Raw genomic sequence first — 21982 nt, forward strand, 5'->3', positions numbered from 1 at the left:
GTTATATTTAAGAATAAGCCAGAGTAGAATAGTATGATTAAAGATATTTCTGATTAGCTAATCTATATTATATATATCTACATAAAATTTTATTTTCAGTTATTAAAACTATAAGACAGTTATTTTACAAAGAAGTGATCTATAGCAGAAACTTGGTTAGAGGATACACATATGAATAAACATGAAAACATAAATATATACCTTTATTCTACGTAAAATTAAGTGTGTGTGTATTTATATATATATTTATAGGGAAAATAAATTTAGTTCTTCAGGGAAAAATATTGTGAGGCAAAAATTATTTCACAATTAAAGTTTAAGTCGGTAGCTTTAAGAGAATGTACAATTTATGTGAAGAGTGTTTGTTTTTGTTAGGTACCCTCATTTTATGTATTCATATACCTAACAAAAACGATGACGTCTCCATTTATTGCTCAATTTTTATTATTTTAAAATCCTTTTAATGTACCCTCTTAAGAAATTGTCTCTTTTATTGAATCTGAATGCCATAAAATATTGCAGGCTCCTAGAGCCATCATACTAACAAGGGAAAGATAGAGTGGTGATGACCTTCTCAAAAGTCACTCAGCTCATGGGAGGCAAGGCGGAGAATGGATCCTGGATCCTAATCTACACAATTCTATTAAGCTGGAAATCTATACCAAATGTATTTAATTTTTACTTTGTCCTAATCCAATCTGATTTAATTTTAGACCGGGAAGATTACAGGTAAGCATCACCTACCCATAAGCCTATCTATGCTTGAAAAAATGTATTTATTTGTGTATTTTTTCTTTTTATTCTAGGAATCATTGACATAGAGTAACTCCACAGCATGTGTCTTCAAGAGCTTCCCTAAAAGGTAAGCTTCCCACAAGGGAAGATTTTCCTTATGTGTAGTTCACCTTGATTAGCATCCTTAGTTTCTATGGAAACATTGAAAACCTTCCCTTACAGAGTGATAGCATGAGATTGTTTTTGATGTTTTTATGAATGTTGAAATTAATGAAAGTAGTGAAGTTACATAAATTAAAGCCTGAAACTAAGAAATAGGGACTATTTACATTTCTCTCTGGAGAAGATACTTAAGGTAGGTTTTCTGTAGTTTAGATTAATTTGATAATCCAAAAATTTTAGAATTTGTAATCATAGAAAGTGTATATTGGGAATAAAGTTGTTGTACTTTTGCCAAATGGTTTCATAGGAGAGGATGTTTTAGCAGTCAAACCAACACAAATATTAAGTTAACGCAGTCCTATAAATACTCAGATCTTAAAAGTTGAAGCTTTTGAAGGGATAAAACATGAGAAATGTAACTCACTGTCTACAATGTATGCAAATTTTTTCCTTAATAAAATATATAGATGTAAAACAGTAAAATGGTTATGTTTTACTTTCCTGATGCTGATCCAATAAAGTAACTGGTGGCTTAAAACAATGGAAACTTATTCTCTCACATTTGTGGAATCTACAAGTTTGAAATGAAACTCTCAGCAGGAACATGCTCTCTCTTTGAAGGCTCTTAAGGAGGAATCTCTTTGCTTCCTCTAGCTTCTGGTGGTTGCTGGCAATGTTTGGTGTTCCTTGGCTTCAGATGCATCAGTCAAATCTCTGCCTCTATCTTCAGTTCACGTGGCTGTCTCCCCTATGTGTGTCCAAATATTCTTCTTCTTAGGAAGATAGCAGTCATTGAATTAGGGCCCATGCTAATCTAATATGATCACATCTTAACTTGATTTTTATCTGTAAAGATCCTTTTTAAAAAGTCACATTCACAGATTTTGGAGATTAGGATTTCAACAGATCTTTTAGGGACATCTAATTCACTCATAACAGTATGCCTAAAAAGAGAGTCTAGTGAAATTAAAGTTAATTATTGTTAACAATGTATTTATGGGAAAATAATCATAACATGGAGTGGAGGAAGGTCTCATTCCATTGGTATACATAAAATGCTGTTTATTTTAATGATATAATAATTATCTCTTGATGGCCAGCTTTTCTCCCAAGCAAGATAAAAATTATTCGGTACAGGGTTTGATAACATTGGGTAAAATATTAGTATATAATTCTGATTCTCAGATTTTTAACACCCTCAGTTAAAAAAAATAATAATCCTGGACATCAGTGAGACCCTGTCTCTATGAAAAACAGGAAAATTTAGCCGGATATGGTGGTGCATGCCTGTAGTCCCACTACTGGGAAAGCTGAAGCGAAAGGATCACTTGGGCCTGGGAGGTCAAGGCTGCAACGAGTTGTTATTGCACCACTGCACTGTAGCCTGGGTGACAGAGCAAGACCTTGTCATAAATTTTATATATATATATATATATATATATAGAGAGAGAGAGAGAGAGAGAGAGAGAGAGTCAGAAATTTATTTCACTTGATTCTTCAGGTATTTTTCATGAGCTAAGGTTGAGTAAGGTGTTTTTTAACCAACTGGCTATTGTTCTGTAACAAACCACCCCAAAACTCAGTGGCTAAAAACAGTAACTTTATTATTTCCTATGAGTCTTTGGGATCAGCTGCTTGGGTCTTCTGATCTGGAACAGACTCTGCAGTATTGACTGGGTATGCTCCTTGGTCTGAGCGCAGCTCACAGGTCAGTGCAAGCTGCTCCACAAGGTCCCTCTCCTCCAGCAGGAACCATCTTTCTTAAGGCAGCAACATTATTCCAAGATACTCTGAGTGTCCTCAAGCTTGTTTAGATGTGCTGTGTTTTCCCTTGCTTTTACTTACTCTGTTCCTTCTCCTTGGAATATTCTTTCTTTCCATCTTTTTATTCCACTTGAAAATGTATTTCCTTTATGAATACTGCTCTGGTTTCTTTGATCCTATTCATTCATATATCTTTGTGTAGCTGAAGATACTGAACTCATATCCCTGTTAGGGTGAGGCTTCCCTCTTGTGCCAACATCAGTGTAAACAATATGATATTCACATTGTCTTGTAATTGCTAGCTTAATTATCTTACCCTCCCACTGTGAACTTCTGAAGCCAGTGATTGCATCTTCTTGTTCTTCATGGTATTCCAAGAACCTAGCAGTGCATGCACAGATGATGTCTTCCATAACTATCCATGGACAGAATGAAAGATTTAATGACATCTTCCCTATTCTAATTCCTCTCTTAAAATTTAAGTTGTTGAAACTTTCCAGAATTTGGACTGAAAGGCAGGAGGTAGGTTTCCTCTCATTTTGATGATGCCCCTTGGACTCTACTCAAAGAGGGCCCAGGCACCCTGTGGTGCCACCCTGGCCTTTCTTCCTCTACCACAGATTGTAAAAGTTGTAGTCTGTGGGACAGAATATCCCCAAAACAGTTAATTTGATTTACATAATAGCTCTTTTTAACATAGTAATTTCAAAAATAAAAATAAAGTTTAACTTGTTGCCAGCACTTAAAAATTTGGAGATTTTACATAAAATGATTTTTTAAATTCTCCTAAAAGAAATCATAATAACTTTCTATCCTGGACAATGCATTTCCAGATGACAAAGAGGGCTTAGCTGAACAATAGCAGCCTTCCAGTGCCCTCTCCAGTTCGTCACACCATGCCATTTGCTATCTTCTAGCCCCAGTAGACACTTGAGTTTAATATCCTTAGCTACCCAAAGATACATGGATTGATACAGTGTGGAGGCTTAGCTTTGCTTCTAAATGTCTGAACAAAGAAGTGTCAGTGGTTGAATGGGCCATTTAGATGTTCTTATTATATATCCATCAACTAAGTAAAAATAATTTTGGCTTTGTTTTCAAAGCTCTGTACTTGAATTCCTGCATGTAATATTTGAACAGATAATCTCTCTGACCTCTTTTTTTTACACATCTGTAAAATGGAGACTGTGATATTCTTCATAGGCTTGGGTCATGTTAGGTTACTTTATTAATGCTAGACAATTTAGTCTAAACTGCACTCATAGGGAAAATAGAAGAAGACAGTTACATTCTTCTTTTTCTGGATTGGTACAAAAATTTTCATCTTTTGTTAGGGTACATTAGCAATATGAAGTACTGATACATGCAACAACTGGGATAAACCTTGAAAATATTATAAATAAAACAAGCCTGACACCAAAGGTCATATATTATATGATTCCATGTTGATATGGTTTGGCTGTGTCCCCACCCAAATCTCATCTTGTAGTTCCCATAATCCCCACCTGTCGTGGGAGGGAGCCGGTGGGAGGTAAATGAATCAAGGGGGCAGTGATCCTCATGCTGTTCGTGTAACAGTGAGTGAGTTCTCATGAGATCTGATAGTATTAGAAGGGTCTTTCCCCTCACTTCACTCTCACTATTCTTCCTGCTGCCATGTGAAGAAGGACTTTGTTGGCTTCTCCTTCCACCATGATTTTAAGTTTCCTGAGGCCTCCCCAGTCATGCTGAAGTGTGAGTCAATTAAACCTCTTTCCTTTATAAATTACTCAGTCTCAGGTATGTCTATTTTAGCAGCATGAGAATGGACTAATATACATGTATAAGAAATACCTAGAATAGGCAAAACTATAGAGACAGAAAGTAGATTAATAGTTTCCAGAAACTAAGGAGAGATGCAAGCGGGCAGTGACTGACTGCTACGATTTCTTTTTGGAGGTGATGAAAATGTTTTGGAATTAGAGAGTAGTGATGGCTGTAAAGCCTTGTGAATACACTAAAAACCACTAAATTGTGCAGTGAGTGGTGAATTTTATGGTATGTGAATTACATCTCAATAAAGTAATAAGGAAATATATGTTTTAGGAAGACAAAATTTCATCTTCAGCTGAGGCAGGAGAATAGGGTCTGGAGGCAGGGTAAACCTAAGGGCAATTTGCACTGACTTCCTACAACTGAATCAAAAGGAAAACCCCACCTCCCCACAACCAATTAACAAAGGGATTAGAGGCTACTCCCTTTGTACTGCATTGCCGATGAAAAATGGAAAGTACCTCTGATTGGTTCTCTCCTGCAACCAGTCACACTGGTCACGGGCCAAGTCTTCATGTGTAACTTTGTAACTTCACTTCAGCCTCTAATTTGCCCCCTCCTGCAACCAATCAGACGTTTGCATAGGGTGTAACTTTGTAACTTCACTTCAGTCTCTTATTGGTCACTCTCTGCAACCAGTGAGACTGGTCGCGGGTCACTCCTTCATTTACATAGTGTAACTAAGTAACCAGTGGGAAACCTCTAGAGGGTAAACCCCAGAAAATTCTGTAACCAGTGCTCTTGAGCCACTTGCTCAAGATTGCTCTCACTATGTGGAGTACACTTTCATTTCAATAAACCTGTGCTTTCATTACTTCATTCTTTTGTTGCTTTGTGTGTTTTGTCCTATTCTTTGTTCAAAATGCCAAGAACCTGGACAACTCATAGTCAAGACCCTCCACTGGCAACATAGCTATGGTGACATTCTCAGTCTTTTTTGCATTGCTGAAAAGGAATACTTGAGGCTGGGTTATTTACAAGGAAAGAGGTTTACTTGGCTCATGGTTCTTCCAGCTGTACAAGAAGCATGGCACCAGCATCTGTGTGTGGTGACAGCCTCAGGAAACTTACAATTATGACAGAGGGCAAAGGGGCAGCAGGCATGCCACAAGGTCAGAGAGGGAGCAAGAGAGAGGCGAATCTCTTTTAAAAACAAACAGCTCTTGCATGAACTAATACAGCAGGAATTTACTCATTACCCAAGGAATGGCACCAAGTCATTCATGAACAGTCTTCCCCCCATGGCCCAAACACCTCGCACTAGGCCCCACCTCCCATCTAGGGGTCAGATTTCGACACGACATTTGGAGTGGACAAACATCCAAACTATATCAGTGATATAACAAAATAAGCAGATTGTCATTCAAATCCACACACACTGCCTTCCTGAGAGTCCTGTCTGACCTGACTGCCAAGGCCAAAGGCCAGGTCAAATTTTTTTTTTTTTTTTAGATGGCATCTAGCTCTGTTGCCCAGGCTGGAGTGCAGTGGTGTGATCTCGGCTCACTGCAACCTCTACCTCCTTCCTGGGTTCAAGCAGTTCTCCTGCCCCAGCCTCGTGAATAGCTGGGATTACAGGCGTCTGCCACCGCACCCAGCTAATTTTTGTATTTTTAGTAGAGATGGGGTTTCACTATGTTGGCCAGGCTACTCTCAAACTCCTGACCTCATGATCCACCCGCTTCAGCCTCCCAAAGTGCTGGGATTACAAGCGTGAGCCACGGTGCCTGGCCCAGGAAAAAAATTTAAACATCAGGATTCATGGTTTCATACTGAGATTCTGAATGATGGGGTCAGACAGGAATGAATTTCTATTCTAAATATTTTACTGACTACCTCTCTCATATTTCTCAAAATGTAAAATAAGGGTACTGATTAGCTCTTTTGTTAGCTTAGGAAAAATAAATATCATGAACCTACTGTGGTTCCAGTTAGGAAATAGACCCTCCATAACTGATACTTTTATAATTAGTATTATTTGGTTGTAAATATTAGGCTATCACATTAGATTTTTGGCAGTTCAACTGTTCCAGGGTTGGCTTTTCTCTTCCTGGCATCTTAGCCAGAAAGAAAAGAATGCCTAGAATTTCTGTTAGCACTTAATGAATTTAATCAGCCCCCGAGGGACTTTTGATGTCAGGGAAATAGTTGACAGAGAAACATGATTTTTATTCTTTCTGTGTTTCTCTTGGTAGTTGACAGAGCTTTCCCTGGCAGAGGTAACATTACCTGTGCTGAGAGAGGAGTATTAACATGCTGTAAGTGAGATGTTAGAACTAAGAGAACACATCCCTGTGGCCTTACATTAAAATGTTCCATGCATATGCTTCTGAATACAATTTAAGCTGCTGCCAATAAGAAAATAAGCCATTGCCTGAAAATGTGTGATTCAATTGTCTATCATTTTTATGATTTTTTTTTACCCTTTCAGACACATTTTAGAGATTCTTTTTTAAAAAGTTTGTTTTTGGAAATTGAAATGAAAATTATCATCTGGAAATATAAGGGATAATTGTGTTATTCTGTGAAGTATTTTATAAGCTGTAATGTTAAGCAGAAATTTTTAATCTTAAGTATGGAAAAATATGTATATGAATTGCTCCATTTGATCCAAGTGATGTTTTATGCTTTTCCTTATGGTTAATGGAAAGGATTATGCTATGTTGAATGGCCGGAATATCAGGAGCATGGGTGTCATTTGTTCTCCCAACAACTATTTTTGGGAAGCTAAGTACATGCCAGAACATGTATTAGGACCAGGTGATATGGTGCCAAATAATATATGTATATCTTCTGGAATTTTGAGTTTGCTGTCTAATAGGGGGACTGATAACATACAAGTAGAAAAAATACATATTGTGCTAAGTACTGTAAAGGAAAGGAAGAGAATATTATGATCGAGAAGCAGAGCTTATAGTTCCGCACCACAACTAATTTATTGTGTGACCCTCTGATAGGCTACTGATGATGAGTGGGCACCGAGCTTCTATAAATTTGACGAATTAATCCTTTGACCATTATGGCGTGATCCTCTTTTTATTCCTGATGATGCTTGTTGACAAAATATTACTTCATTTAAATTAAATTTGCCTGAGATTTCCTTTCTAATTTGTTTTCAACCTTTATGTTTAGTTTAGGTGTATCTCCTTTCAGCAGCGTGTAGTTGGATTTTTTCAGTGTGAATTTTCCCCCCTTCTTTTTTACTAAGGGAATTGAATTTTTTTGCACTTATTTTGATTCCTGAAATATTTTTAACATTCTTTCCATCACCTTACTTTGTGTCAGGATTTTTGTTTCTAAATGCTTTTCCACCTTCTTCTAAATTAACTGGTTTTCTTAATTCCATTAATTTCTTATTATTTCGGACGTTTCACTGTTTTCATTTTTAGTGTGCTCTGCCAAATTTTAACCTTAGCAAAGTCAAATTTAATGTTCCCAAATAAAACCTAAAATTCTTTAACTCAAATTGTATCACTCAAAGTTCCAAGTTATTTTCTATGCATATTATTTTAGCTCAACTTTTTCTTCCTCTTAGTAATTATTATTATATTTAATACATTCAGGTTTTAACTTACATAGATTTTCTTATATACTGACCAGTTTATTTCTTATCATTGCTTCCAGCATCCCACTTCCTTTTGCTCAAAAGTTCCTATTAAATTTTTAGTAGCTTCTTTTAATGGTAAACTCTCTAATTTTTTTGTATCACTAAATATTTTTCTTTTGCTGTTATTTTTGAATAATGTTAAGCTAGGATTGGAATTCTTAGTTAATGGTATTTTCCCCTCAATACCATGAAGATATTGTTGTATTGTTTTCTATCCTTTATTACTACAGATAATGAAATCTGCTGTTAGTCAAATTGATATGCTTATGTATGTGATCTGTCTTTTTCTTTCCTGCTCACTTTTAAGATATTTCTTACATTTGGAGTTCTGCAGTTTCACAATGATAAGTCCAAGTATGCATTTTTGTTGAGTTTTTCTCTTACGCTATTCTGTTTTCCAACCTCAGGACACACTTTTTTCCAGTTGTAGAAAATTCTCATTTATTATTTATGTGAATATTGGTATTTCTAAAATTACTTTTGTTGTCTCTTTTCTGCATTCTTAAACATATTTGGACCATTTATTTCTCCTATCCATAACTCCTAGCTAGCCTTTCACTTTTTTCTTTATGTCTTCATTTTGCATTATAAGAAAATTCCTCTGGAGTCCTTCAGTTTTTAAATTTGTTGTTCATCAGTGTCTATTCTGCTACTTAACTTTTGTATCATCAGGATGGCTAGTTCATGCTGCATTATTAGCAAACAGCCCCAAGTGTCATGGATTAAAACAAGAAAAGTTTATTTCTCTCTCATGCAACATTCTCAATGAAAGTTAACAGGGGAGCTCTGTCTTGGTGGAGGCACCATCTGGGAATGTGAAGGCAAAATAAAGAAAACCTGTGGAATCATAAACTGGCTCAGAAAGCTTCCTCCCGGAATTGACACACGTCATTTTTCCTCATATTCCACTAGCAAAAGAAGCCAATGGATGACTCCAAAGGCTATAAGGAAATACAATCTTTTTTTTTTTTTTTTTTGGAGACATAATCTCGCTGTCGCCCAGTCTGGAGTGCAGTGGCACCATCTCGGCTGACTGCAACCTCCACCTCCCGAGTTCAAGTGATTCTCCTGCCTCAGCCTCCCTAGTAACTGGGATTACAGGTGCCCATCATCACACCCAGCTAATTTTTGTATTTCTAGTAGAGACAGGGTTTCACCATGTTGGCCAGGCTGGTCTCAAACTCCTGACTTCAGGTGATCCACCCACCTCGGCCTCCCAAAGTGCTGGAATTACAAGCGTGAGCCACCATGCCTGGCCAGGAAATACAATCTTAATATGCACCTGGAAACAAAGGAGAACTGTAGTATTTATGAAAAGCACTGCACGGCTACTCCAAATGTTCATTTTTTTTTTTAATTTCAATTTCTTGTTTTAATTTTTAGAAGCTCTTTTTGGTTTATCTTTTTTTTAAGTCATGTTTTCTTGCTTTATCATGGATTCAGTTCCTTTTTATTTGTAATTCCTTTACATACTCTTAATTTCTCCTCATGTTCATTAATCTTTTATTATTTTTATTGTTTATACTGTATGTTTCTTTTACTGTGCCAACTGAATTTTTTCATGGTAGTTTTTATTTCCACATATAGTTCGTAATTTTATAGTTTGAGCCCACCTTAGTGAACTACTTCCTTTCTTTGGGAATGTTGTGAACTCTGTGTTGTGACAGCATTCCCCAAGAGTGGTTCTGCTTTTGCTTTTATTGAGTCTTTAGGATATAAAAGGTCACATATCAGTTTTTGTTAACTTCTTGCATTTTATAAGTAGAGTAAATTAGATCATATACTTAACGCTTGGCCCAGCCGTGAGGTTTTTATTTCTTATAGGGGTCATATTGAGTCCAAAGACAACAGAATTCCTCACTTCTTGTTCAGGCCATTTGCATCATTTTTCTACCTTCTTTTCATGGATTTAGGGAATCTGTGTTTTATATAGGGACTTTAGATATATCTCCCTGTGCTTGGAAGACTATGTCTCCTGTCCCTCCTTAGACATCAAAACCCTGGCTCACCAGCCCTCAGGCCTATAGCGAGAACCACCCTGTCCCTGAACCACCACCACATTAACTGAAACTTATTGCAGAGTCTTCAGTTCCTCTGTTCCTTTATCAGACCTTCAGCATTCCATTTCCTTTCCTTAAACTTGATAGATTTTTTTAAATTGTTTTACTTATATTTTATTCATTATTTTTCTGTGCCTTTAGGTGGTCATTGATCTATATTAGCTGGGTTCATTATGTTTTCAAAACTGGAAGTTTCTAACATCAGCTTCCTAGCCTATAAAAAATTATTCAAGTTGCATTATCCACAATGCTCTTTTAACCCTATGACTCATATCTTAATATGAACTAATACGAAGAAAAACAAGAATTAATACCAGGTCTCTTGTCTTCTTTCCATTTTGATATTAATCAATTGTGTCATGTTAGACAAGTCATTAAACTTTCTTGGGCTCAAGCTTCCCCATCTATAAAATCAGCAGTTGAAACTATATGCCTTAGATAAATGCATTCTCTTCTCCAAGCTAAGCAAGTTTAAATCTGATGAGCTTTTAGGAAAGATACAACTTTGTCCTCAGTACTATAATATTTGATTCTTTAATTATTTCCAGCTGAAGTCTTTTAAAATTTACATTATTGCAATAAATGTTTTACCCGAACTGGTTTGGTAAATATTTTATATGCATCTGTATATAAAGAACCATCATATCTTATTATACCTAGAAATGAATGCAATTATGTTTGCCATTTTAAGGGTCTCAAGAGTTAATATTAACAAAGTGCTTGTTGACGTATTTTTTTTTTCACATGACCTTCTGAAGCCAGCCTGCACTACTGCCTTTTACATAAGTAAATTAGGGTACATTTTTAACCTTTTCATGTTTAAACTAAGACACATAGTAGCTCTTCAAAATTGCAAAACAGTCTTTAGAACATTTAGTACACAATAACCCTTCTAATTGCACGTGAAATGAAGGACTGTAAACTTCATAAGTCACCCAGAAGAACACAATGTAATTCCCTTTAGAGTATCCTCTTTAAAAGTGGTCTCAGAATCAGACTCCATGATTTCAGCAACACAGTCAAAGATGTACTAACAGATATTACCTAGGTTGCCAATGAATTGCTGTCAGTTCATGTTTTATCCATGAAAATTTTAAGGAAAATGTAAAAATGATACATTTGTTTGAACTTGTAGAGAAAATTATGAAAAATCCAAGCTTGTAGGGAATGATGGACTATCTGCAGAATATTAGCATAGCTCTGATTTTGCAAACACGTGGACTCAGATAATCTTACCCAGTGGAGACATACCAATGCAAAGTGAACTAAGATCTTGGAGTACTAATGGACCTATATAACACATTGAGAATGTTGAAACAACCCGAAACAAGCTAGAGAAATTGGAGAAGCTTAAACCTGAGGATTGGTGCCCTGAAATGGAAGAGAAACAACAGTCAACTTTATATGAACAGGATGAAATAGCATACAACAGGATGATATTAACATATCTCTGAGCCTGTGAGGGACAGGGAACAGACTTAGAGCAATCCACCCTTGCCGTTAAGATCTATTTTGAAGTGAGACAGGCGCTTGTCTCAAAGGTCAGGGACTAAATGTGTCTTAGAGAAGTCATCGTGGTTGTTTTACCTTTTCATCCACCTTTGAAATAAAAGATTAGAGATAAGATGAAATCTAACTAGATCCTTGCTAGGAGAATGAAGTTTTAAAAGGAGAGCCATAGTCACAGCTGTCTTCAGAGTAGGTAGATGCCAAGTCTTAGGGAAGTACAGGATTAACCATGTTGGTAATGACAGAACCTAAGGTATCCCCAGCAGTGTTCTTTAAGAGTGTAAAAAACAAGGATTAGGAGAGCAGGTGATTGGACGCAGCTGCTGAATAATCTTCTTAACCTCATCTTTACTCCACAGGGAGAAAAATAACAGGAAAATAAAAGCTTCCACCAAGTGGTTGGTGGCAGTGAAACAAAAGGAGCATCAAAAAGTACACAAGGACAGATTTGTCCTGATGCTAATAATTCTGAACAAAAGGGCCAGGAAATTGCTGTAAAGTGCTCTGTACTAGTGTAAGATAAATACATAATTAGTATACTTAAATAAAGAAAAAAATAGAGTAGAATTCTAGGAGTGGTTCTTTTTTCTAGGCACTTCTAAAGCTGTTATTCACTGAGGGCCTAAATACCTTGTAATGTCTCTTCATTAAGTTTTTGTTCATGAAGTAGCGAGAAATGAATAGCTCTCAGTCAATATTTAATTGATGCTTATACATTGAATTTAATCAGGAACTATCTAAATGACTCACTAACCAACGAAAATTTAAGCAAGGCAAATGTAACAAAGGAAAATGGGGAGCAAAGCAGGCAAATGGTACCAGATTATGCATGAGTAAGAAATATGCATGAGAGAAAACTTTCATGTTTGAAGCCATTTGCTACATTCCTGGATTACTCTAGCACAGCCTAAATAATTCTGATTAATGCAGCCTCCCAACGCATGATATAGTCTGCAATGAAAATGGCCCAAAATATATACCTTAATTTCTGTACAATGTACTGGTTCCTTGTTTTAGTGATTCTGTATTTGTAAAAGTTCCTATATTGAGTTTGCTTCAACCGTATTGACTGCTGAAGCTCAAGTTCTGTTTATAGCAAAGGTCAGGGTCTAAATATGTCTTAGAGAAGTCATAGTTATAGTTCTCCATAATTGGAGAACTATATCGTACAACTTCTGCCATGAATGTGAGACCATCTAATAGTCAAACTAGAAAGAGTGAACTCATAGAACACCATAAGTAAAATGTACCCCAGATAACATCCAGACCAAATCTCATTTTATAGTGCAGGAAACTTAGGCGCAGAAATGTTTGGTTAAAAGTGGCACAGATTCACACAAAACCAAAGTCTTGATGTTCAGCATGCAGAAGGAGAGAACGTAGTTTTCCACAATTTTTTTTTCTTCCTCAAAGATGGGACAAGGGTGACCTTACTCGCATTAAAGAAGTGGATGATACTTAGTTGTATTTGAAAGAAAAAGAGAACAGAGTTCTCATGCTTTGAAAACAGAAAGTAAATATGTATGATCTCACTTATCCCCCTTTATCTGAGGTAGATACATTCCCCGTGGAGTAGGACAGAGCGTGATTTCTTCACGCTACTCGGAATGGTGTAGAATTTAAAACTTATGAATTCTTTATTTCTGGAATTTCCCATTTAATATTTTTGGAATGTGGTTGACTGCATCAACAAACTCCAGAAAGCAAACCATAGATAAGAGGGGACTACTGTTTATGAAATCTAAAAAAACTGAACTCACAGAAGTAGTAAAATGATGGTTACTGAGGTTGGGGGTTGAGAGGGGGAGGGAATGGGGGATTGTTGGTCAAAAGGTACAAAGTTTCATGTATAGACAAGAGGAATAGGTTTTGAGATCTACTGCATAGCAAGGTGACTATAATCAATAATAATGTATATTTACCTAAGAGTAAATTTCAAATGTCTCACCACAAAATAGAGGTGAGGTGATAGATATGTTAATTAGCTCAGTTTAATCATTTTTGATTTTTACATATATCAAAACATCACATTTTACTCATAAGTGTATACAATTATGATTTATCAATTCATACTAATAAAAACAAACAGGTCTGGTGCGGTTGCTCATGCCTGTAATCCCAGCACTTTGGGAGGCCCAGGTGGGTGGATCATGAGGTCAGGAGATTGAGACCATCCTGGCTAACACCGTGAAACGCCGTTGAGAGGTGACAATGTGCTAGCAGCCCTCGCTCACTGTGGGCACCTCCTCAGGCCAAGGCGTCCACTCTGGCCGCACTTGAGGAACACTTCAGCCTGCCGCTGCACTGTGGGAGCCCCTCTCTGGGCTGGCCGAGGCCGGAACCGGCTCCCTCTGCTTGTGGGGAGGTGTGGAGGGAAAGGCTCGGGTGGGAACCAGGGCTGCGCAGCGCTCGCAGGCCAGCTGGAGTTCCGGGTAGGTGCAGGCTCCACGGGCCCCACACTCAGAGTGGCAGGCCGGCACAGCCAGCCCCTGGCAGCGAGAGGCTTAGCACCTGGGCCAACGGGCGGAGGGGATGCCAGGTTCCCCAGCAGTGCCAGCCCGCCAGTGCTGTGCTCAAATTCTCACCGGGCCTCTGCTGCCTCCCCTTGGTGCAGGGCTCAGGACCTGCAGCCCGCCAAGCCCGAGCTCCCCCACGGTGGGCTCCGGCATGGCTGGAGCCTCTCCGACAGGTGCCACCCCCTGCTCTGTGGCACCCAGTCCCATCAACCGCCCAAGGGCTGAGGAGTGCAGGTGCACGGTGCGGGACTGGTGGGCAGCAGGGGATCTACTAGGCGAAGCCAGCTGGGCTGCTGAGTTTTTGATGGGGACTTGGAGAACTTTTATGTCTAGCTGGAGGATTGTATATGCACCAGTCAGCACTCTGTGTCTAGCTGAAGGTTTGTAAATGCACCAATCAGTGCTCTGTGTCTAGCTAATCTAGTGGAGACTTGGAGAACTTTTGTGTCTAGCTAAAGGATTGTGAATGCACCAATCAGCACTCTGTCTAGCTCAAGGTTTGTAAACGTGCCAATCAGTGCTCTGTGTCTAGCTAATCTATGGGGACTGGGAGAACTTTTATGTCTAGCCGGAGGATTGTATATGTACCAATCAGCACTGTGTCTAGCTCGGGTTTTGTGGATGCACCAATCAGCACTGTGTATCTAGGATATCTGGTGGGGACTGGGAGAACTTTTATGTCTAGCTAGAGGACTGTAAATGCACCAATCAGCACTCTGTGTCTAGCTCAGGGATTGTAAACACACCAATCAGCACCCTATCAAAACAGACCAATCAACTCTCTATAAAATGGACCAATCATCAGGATGTGGGTGGGGTCAGATAAGGGAATAAAAGCAGGCTGCCCGATCCCTGCAGTGGCAACCGGGTCTGGTCCCCTTCCACATTGTGGAAGCTTTGTTCTTTTGCTCTTTGCAATAAATCTTGCCGCTGCTCACTCTTTGGGTCTGCACTGCCCTTAAGAGCTATGTCCTTAAGAGCTGTAACAGTCACCGGGAAGGTCTGCAGTTTCACTCCTGAGGCCAGCGAGACCACGAACCCACCGGGAGGAATGAGCAACTCTGGACGGGAGGAATGAACAACTCCGGACACACCATCTTTTAAGAACTGTAACACTCACCGTGAGGGTCTGCAGCTTCATTCTTGAAGTCAGCGAGACCAAGAACCCACCAATTCTGGACACACCGTCTCTACTAAAAACACAAAAACAAAATTAGCCGGGTGTGGTGGCGGGCGCCTGTGGTCCCAGCTACTCGGGAGGCTGAGGCAGGAGAATGGCGGGAACCCGGGAGGCGGAGCTTGCAGTGAGCCAAGATGGCGCCACCGCACTCCAGCCTGGGCGACAGAGCGAGACTCCGTCTCAAAAAAAACAAAAACAAAACAAACAAACAAAAAAAACATAAAGGAGTCCTCACTTGATGACAATGATGACAGCTTATATATTTAGAGCACATATGAAATACTAGGTACTTTCCTAATCCTTATAAACACATTTTCTTATGACGTAACCTAAAGTAGGTTCCAACATCTCATAACATCTCTTCATCTTGTTGATTAAAAACACGTAAGTTCAGAGTGGTTACATAAGCTTCCCAATATCTCAGTGTAAATCTGTAGCAGAGATGGGATTCCCATTCAGTTCTATCTTGACTCCAGGGTCAGAATTCATAATCACTTCCATATTGCTACAGTTGAATAAGAACTGTATTTTGGGCTGGGCATGGTGGCTCATGCCTGTAATCCCAGCACTTTGGGAGGCCGAGGCAGGCGGATCACCTGAGGTCAGGAGTTCAATACCAGGCTGGCCAATGTGGCGAAACCCCATCTCTACTAAAAGTGGAAAAATTAGCCAGGTGTGGTGGCAGGTGCCTGTAATCCCAGCTACTCAGGAGGCTGAGGCAGGAGAATCACTTGAACCCGGGAGGCGGAGGTTACCGTGAGCCCAGATCGCACCACTGCACTGCAGCCTGGGTGGCAAGAGCGAGACTCCATCAGAAAAGAAAAACCTGAATATTTTGAACCTTAAGTGAAAGGAGTTACATAAGTAGGCTTCAAGAAATGCACCCACCAGAGTGATACCAGAGCAACTATTTGCAGTGAAGTACTAATAGGGACTTTGTGTATGAGAGTCTGATATTAGCAGCAGGCAGTTGTGCTGTAGTGCTTTCAGCTGGTATTGCAGAAAAAAAAAATCACACTTGGCTGTAAGTAAGCTGTTGATTGCTTACACGGGTTTCTGTGGCATGCCAGCTCTCCCTGCCACCTACTCTTCCTTATCAAACAGCCAGGAGTTCTAAGTGAGGTGAGAATCCCACTTGACAAGCAGGCATAAACCATTTGAGGAAAATACAAATTAAAAGGCTCCAAGACAGAAATAGGAGCATTAGCAGCAGGAAGTGTCTTGGGGATACATTGTGTCAGATTACATCCAGGAGTTGGGAGAATAAGTGAGTCATAGCCTCCCAGTGGATAAGCCCTGTTGTGTCAGTAGCTGGGCAGCCTCAGAAGCTGTATTAGCTATTTAAAGTTGCCAGAACTGCTGTGAATGCCCCCAAGCTAGCATCTGCTTAGTAACATCCTTGAATTATGCGCAGTATGCCTATTTCTCAAGTAGCTTCAGCATTTCTCCTAACTTCTGACCTGTGTCAAAGCATAGTGATAGAATTTTGTTCGTGTTTAAGGACAGTAATACAGAATAGTAAAGAACTAGAGATATTTTGCTCAAGATCACCTAGCGAGTCAATCAATGAGCTAAAATTACAATGTTGATCTCAAGGAACTTTTGGTCTGTGTAAAAATATGGAGCATAAATATAATGTCATTGCACACATTTGATCAATGTCTTGGCCAAGAAATCTCAGTTGTCAGAAACAGAAACCCTCTTAATTTAGTCCAAACAAGAATTTAGTTTACCTGAAGGATACAGGGAATCTCATAGAACTTACAGCTACGAAGTACAGCTTTGTTCAGGTCAGGAGCAAAGGTTACCTTTCTGTATTTCTGGGACCTATTTCAGGGACCCTGTGGCACTTAGCATTCTCTCTTCTTCCCCAATCCCCTCCTGCGCCCTCCTCCAACCCCTGAAGGTATTTTCTTTCATCTTTGCAGTTTCTTCTTTCTACCTTAGTATGTATTCAGTCGATACTGGCCATCCTAGCTCTAGACTAACATGACCCACTGGATTGGGTCTCTGTATCCTAACCAGAGATTCCACAGTGAGAAAAATCTCCTGCTCCAAACAGTTTTTAGTACAAGGAAAAACCAGGACCTCCTAAGATAAAGAGTTGCATTCTTGGCAGAGAACCCAAAGATTTTTAAAATACATTCAGAAAATTGCCATCAATGCTCAATTGTAATCTAATTCAAATTGTAGCAGGGGCAGGGTTTATCCCTGGTTAGTATATAACAACACCGGGAAGCCACTTCCTTCCTGCCTTCCAGACCTCCCCTCAGTTGTTGCCTGGGTGCTTTTTACCTTGATTGGCTCAGTGTTTCCTGACTGCTAATCTTGTATCAAAGAGAATCCAATACAGGTATTGGTGTTTCCACTTCCTGTTGCTTACGTCATTTCTAGCTATTGGTGGGGAGAACAGTTGTTACTGGAAAGGGGTCCCAATCAAGACCCTAAGAGAGAGTTCTTGGATCTCACATAAGAATGAATTCGAGAAGAGTCCATAAAGTGAAAGCAATTTTATTAAGAAAGTAAAGGAATAAGAGAATGGCTACTCCATAGGCAGAGCAGTGGCATGTGTAGCTGGGTTCCCATTTTTATGGTTATTTCTTGATTATATTTTAAACAAGGGGTGGATTATTCATGAGTTTTCCAGTAAAGGGATGGGCAATTCCTGGAACTGAGAGTTCCTCCCCTTTTTAGACCGTATAGGGTAACTTCCTGATGCCATGGCATCTGTAAACTGTCATGGCGCTGGTGGGAGTGTCTTTTAGTATGTTAATGGTTTATAATTAGCGTATAATGAGCAGTGAGGACAACCAGAGGTCACTCTCTTCACTATCTTGGTTTTGGTGGATTTCAGCCAGCTTCTTTACTTCAACCTGTTTTATCAGCAAAGTCTTTCTGACCTGTATCTTATGCCAACCTCCTATCTCATCCTGTGACTAAGAATGCCCAACCTCCTGGGAATGCAGCCCAGTAGATCTTAGCCTTATTTTACCCAGCCCCTATTCAAGATGGAGTTGCTCTTGTTCAAACACCTCTGACACAGTTGCTGTCTTTTTTCAGCTCTGGTCAGGAACTTATTACAGGCAAAGTGCTTTACAGCTTAAAAAAGGAGGGATAAGGGAATAGATGCTGTCTTTGGCTTTGGCCTTCTTTGGAATATCTAGCTTCTTAACTAAGAATAAATTTTTATAAGAGACATTTAGATACTGTTAAAGACTAGCACTAGACATTTTTACTAGAAATTCCAGGATTGTCAACACAATAAGATTTATGCAGATTAGATGGTATGGTGTTGTTTATTATTACAACTTGATAACTAGACCAGTACTTCTCAAACTTAAAAGCGCTTACAGACCACTTAGGAATCCTGTTACAAATGCAGATTCTGCCCTAGGAAGCCTGTATGGTACCTGAGATTTTGCATTTCTAACCAAGACCTAGGTGATCCTGATGCTGGTGACCCACAAACCGTACTTAAGTAGCAATGACGTTAAGATACTGTTTTCATATCCAGAATCACTGTACTTTTCAGAATAGAAATTAATAGTCTACCTTCTTATTTCAGACCTGAACAAAATGAACTTCAGTTTAGGTGGGTTACTTGCTTAAGGACAATATAGTTTGTAACAGTGTTGGAATTAAAAGCTAGATTCTGGTGATTCTGTTATACCAACTTAAGGGACTAATATTTATTATGTCGATTCCATGCTGTTTTGTTCACTTTACTGAAAATCACTGCATACGTAGCCTTAATTCACTATCGCTGTCTAGTTTTCAGCTCTAGTAGGTATTGTAAACATAAACATACACAGAAACAGATTTATCTATTTTCCAGCCAAGCTTTTGCAAAGCAAAATCCAGGCTGCAGAGAGATTGTTGATTGATACTAAAATTTTGACAGCTGAGAGTATATTTTCAGCAACAAGATGAGTAACTTGGGCTAAAGGAGACTGATGAGAATAAAACTTAGATTTATTAAGGACCTTTCCAGTGAGCAGTCTGTGTCATTTCTCAATGCAAAAATAAGTAGTGTCCAATTCCAATTATATGATCCTGCAACACGTAATTTAGCTTTGATTAATTGCTATAAATTGCTATCATCTTCTTAATCCTGTATGTATTTGGTATCAGGCTTTAATGCCTGTAAATTTAAATACTGGGGTACTCAATGAATTTCCAAAATAATACTCTACAGAATACATCCTATTTCATTTAGAAGTTTTTAAAATAACTCCAGCTACTGTCTTTTATGTAATATGTGAATTCTACACTTATCGTTTCGTTTTATAAACCGTATGTAGCAGCATCAGTGGATTGGGAACACCTGTGTACCCCATGTGACATTTTACTTAGTGTGGACGAGGGGAAGTCAACTGCAGCAAAATCATTTCTTTTGATTTCTAACAATTTCTTCTAGCCTTATCTGTAGGATACTTGACAAAAAAAGGATACAATATTTCTATCTATTTAAGATGTATATCACAGTCCACTTAACAGTTTGAGGAATGTTTTGGTAGTTTCTGTGACCTTGAGTAAGCTTTCCATTTCGAGCCTCCGTTTTTGCAACTACAACATGCAGACAGTAACACCTACCTCGCAGGATAATATGGATGAAATGACAGCATATTTAAAAGCACTTAACCAGTGCTTGGCATAGGAAGCACTCAGCAAATATTCTTTTCTTATTTCCTGAAGCATTTAATATATTTAGGATTAAGCGATAGCAAAATGATAATTCTCTTTACTTACCTCTGGCATCTAGAATGCTCTTGGTGACTGGAATAAGTTTTAATTGTAATCAAAACTGAACGATTAATAGTGTAAACTTGCTGAGGGAGAAATAAGGAGGACATGCTTTCCAGAACCAATTAAAAATGATTTTAGATGATCTGCTATTTCATATTCCCCACACCATTGCTTTTCCTATTAGCAGGTATAAGTGAGAATTAATGGCAAATAATGGCAACACAAATCAGTACTAAAGTGCATAGTCATTTTTCATCATGCAGCTAAAACGGTATTATTAATGTCAATTTATTGGTTATATATAATGAACTACTATGCTGGAGTTTTGTAGAAATTATTTTTTATTCCAATATAGTTACTTGATCAAGGAGACTAAGTTCCTTTTATAAAATACCAGAGGATGTCATGAATGAAGAAATATGGCTAGTCCGGTGCAGGCTGTGTATGCAGGAGAATGAGGTTTTCTCTCTCACAATTACGTGAGCCTCTGCAGAGTGTACTTTTTCCTGGCCTCCAGTTGTGGTTAGGTGCTACTGGTAGATTTATAAATATGTCATAGTTATATCAAATATTTTAATCATTCTGAGCCTTTTCGCCTCATCCAAGTAAAACAATTGTCTTCTCCAAATGAAGTATTGTAAATATTTATTTGCAGATTTTAATCAACCTGTGACAGCCCTCTCATATGATAAAATGGTAACTTTGTAAGATTCGATGCCCCAAAGATACATCTGCACCATTTAATTAGCTGGATGTGAGTCTACAGTAGAGTCAACTTAGTTTTTACAGATGGGCTTATTTTCTGATTGGAGAGAACCGCATACAGCTATGTAATTATTACAACGTATAATGTACAACATACATTATATATATAGTGTATAATACTCCAGTGTTCACTTAGGAGTTCCTATCTGGAATTGGTCTTGTATCTGTTATAAACAATTGTAGTTTCTGATAGAAGTTACATAAACATGGAGGGATTTTTATTGGTATGATTTCAAACAAATCATTTTCTACCTTAAGACTGAGTCAAATCCAAACTAGCATGTGCTTAACTGAAATCATGTATATATGATTTTGTTTTGTTTTGTTTTTGAGACAGAATCTCGCTCTGTCGCCCAGGCTGGAGTGCAGTGGCAGGATCTAGGCTCACTGCAAGCCCCGCCTCCCGAATTCACGCCATTCTCCTGACTCAGCCTCCAGAGTAGTTGGGACTACAGGCGCCCACCACCACGCCCTGCTAATTTTTTGTATTTTTAGTAGAGACAGGGTTTCATCGTCTTAGCCAGGAAGGTCTCTATCTCCTGACCTCGTGATCCACCCGCCTCGGCCTCCCAAAGTGCTGGGATTAGGGTCGAGAGCCACGGCACCTGGCCGTATATATGATTGTTTATTCACTAATTCCTTCACTTGCTGAACAGATATTTTGGAGTTTCTACCAAATTCTAAGTATTGTGCAGTATACTGTTAAGCACAACCTTGTTTCAAAGGAAGTAGTAGTCAAAGCAGAGTGAAAACCAGATGAACAGATTATTCGTCTTAATCTACAGACTTAGAAGGAAAAAACTACCAGGCATTATCTGCCAGATCTTCTCATAAGCACTTTCACATATTTTCTGTCATATGAACAGATTATGACTATTTATTGTGATTAGACCTGTGTTATTTTGAAGCATGAAGTAAATGGAAAATGTCACAGGAGAGGTGACATTGGAACAGGATGGTAAAGAGTAGGAGATTGCAAGAGAAATCTATTCTGTTTGAGAACTTCTAAACAGAAGGTCAGTTTGAGCATAAATTAATGATTAATTTTTATTCCCTTATTTTTAGCAGTAAAAAAAAATATTTTACTGTTCAGTTTAAAAATGTTTCTGGAATCCTTAGGGTTTTC

General features: G+C 38.6%; 1 protein-coding gene across 31 annotated transcripts in view; it reads left to right on the top strand.

The window, feature by feature from the left end:
* The window catches only part of CNTN4 (contactin 4), a 959094-nt gene that overhangs the window by 239506 nt on the left and 697606 nt on the right, over positions 1 to 21982 (top strand). For all 31 annotated transcript variants that reach the window (XM_017005783.2, NM_001350095.2, XM_047447536.1 and 28 more), the window contains one exon: positions 807 to 862. The gene's annotated coding sequence lies outside the window, so the exon portion shown is untranslated. The remainder of the gene's footprint in view (positions 1 to 806; positions 863 to 21982) is intronic.

The sequence above is a fragment of the Homo sapiens genome, chromosome 3 (genome assembly GCF_000001405.40).
Source record: "Homo sapiens chromosome 3, GRCh38.p14 Primary Assembly".
NCBI classification, from domain to species: domain Eukaryota; kingdom Metazoa; phylum Chordata; class Mammalia; order Primates; family Hominidae; genus Homo; species Homo sapiens.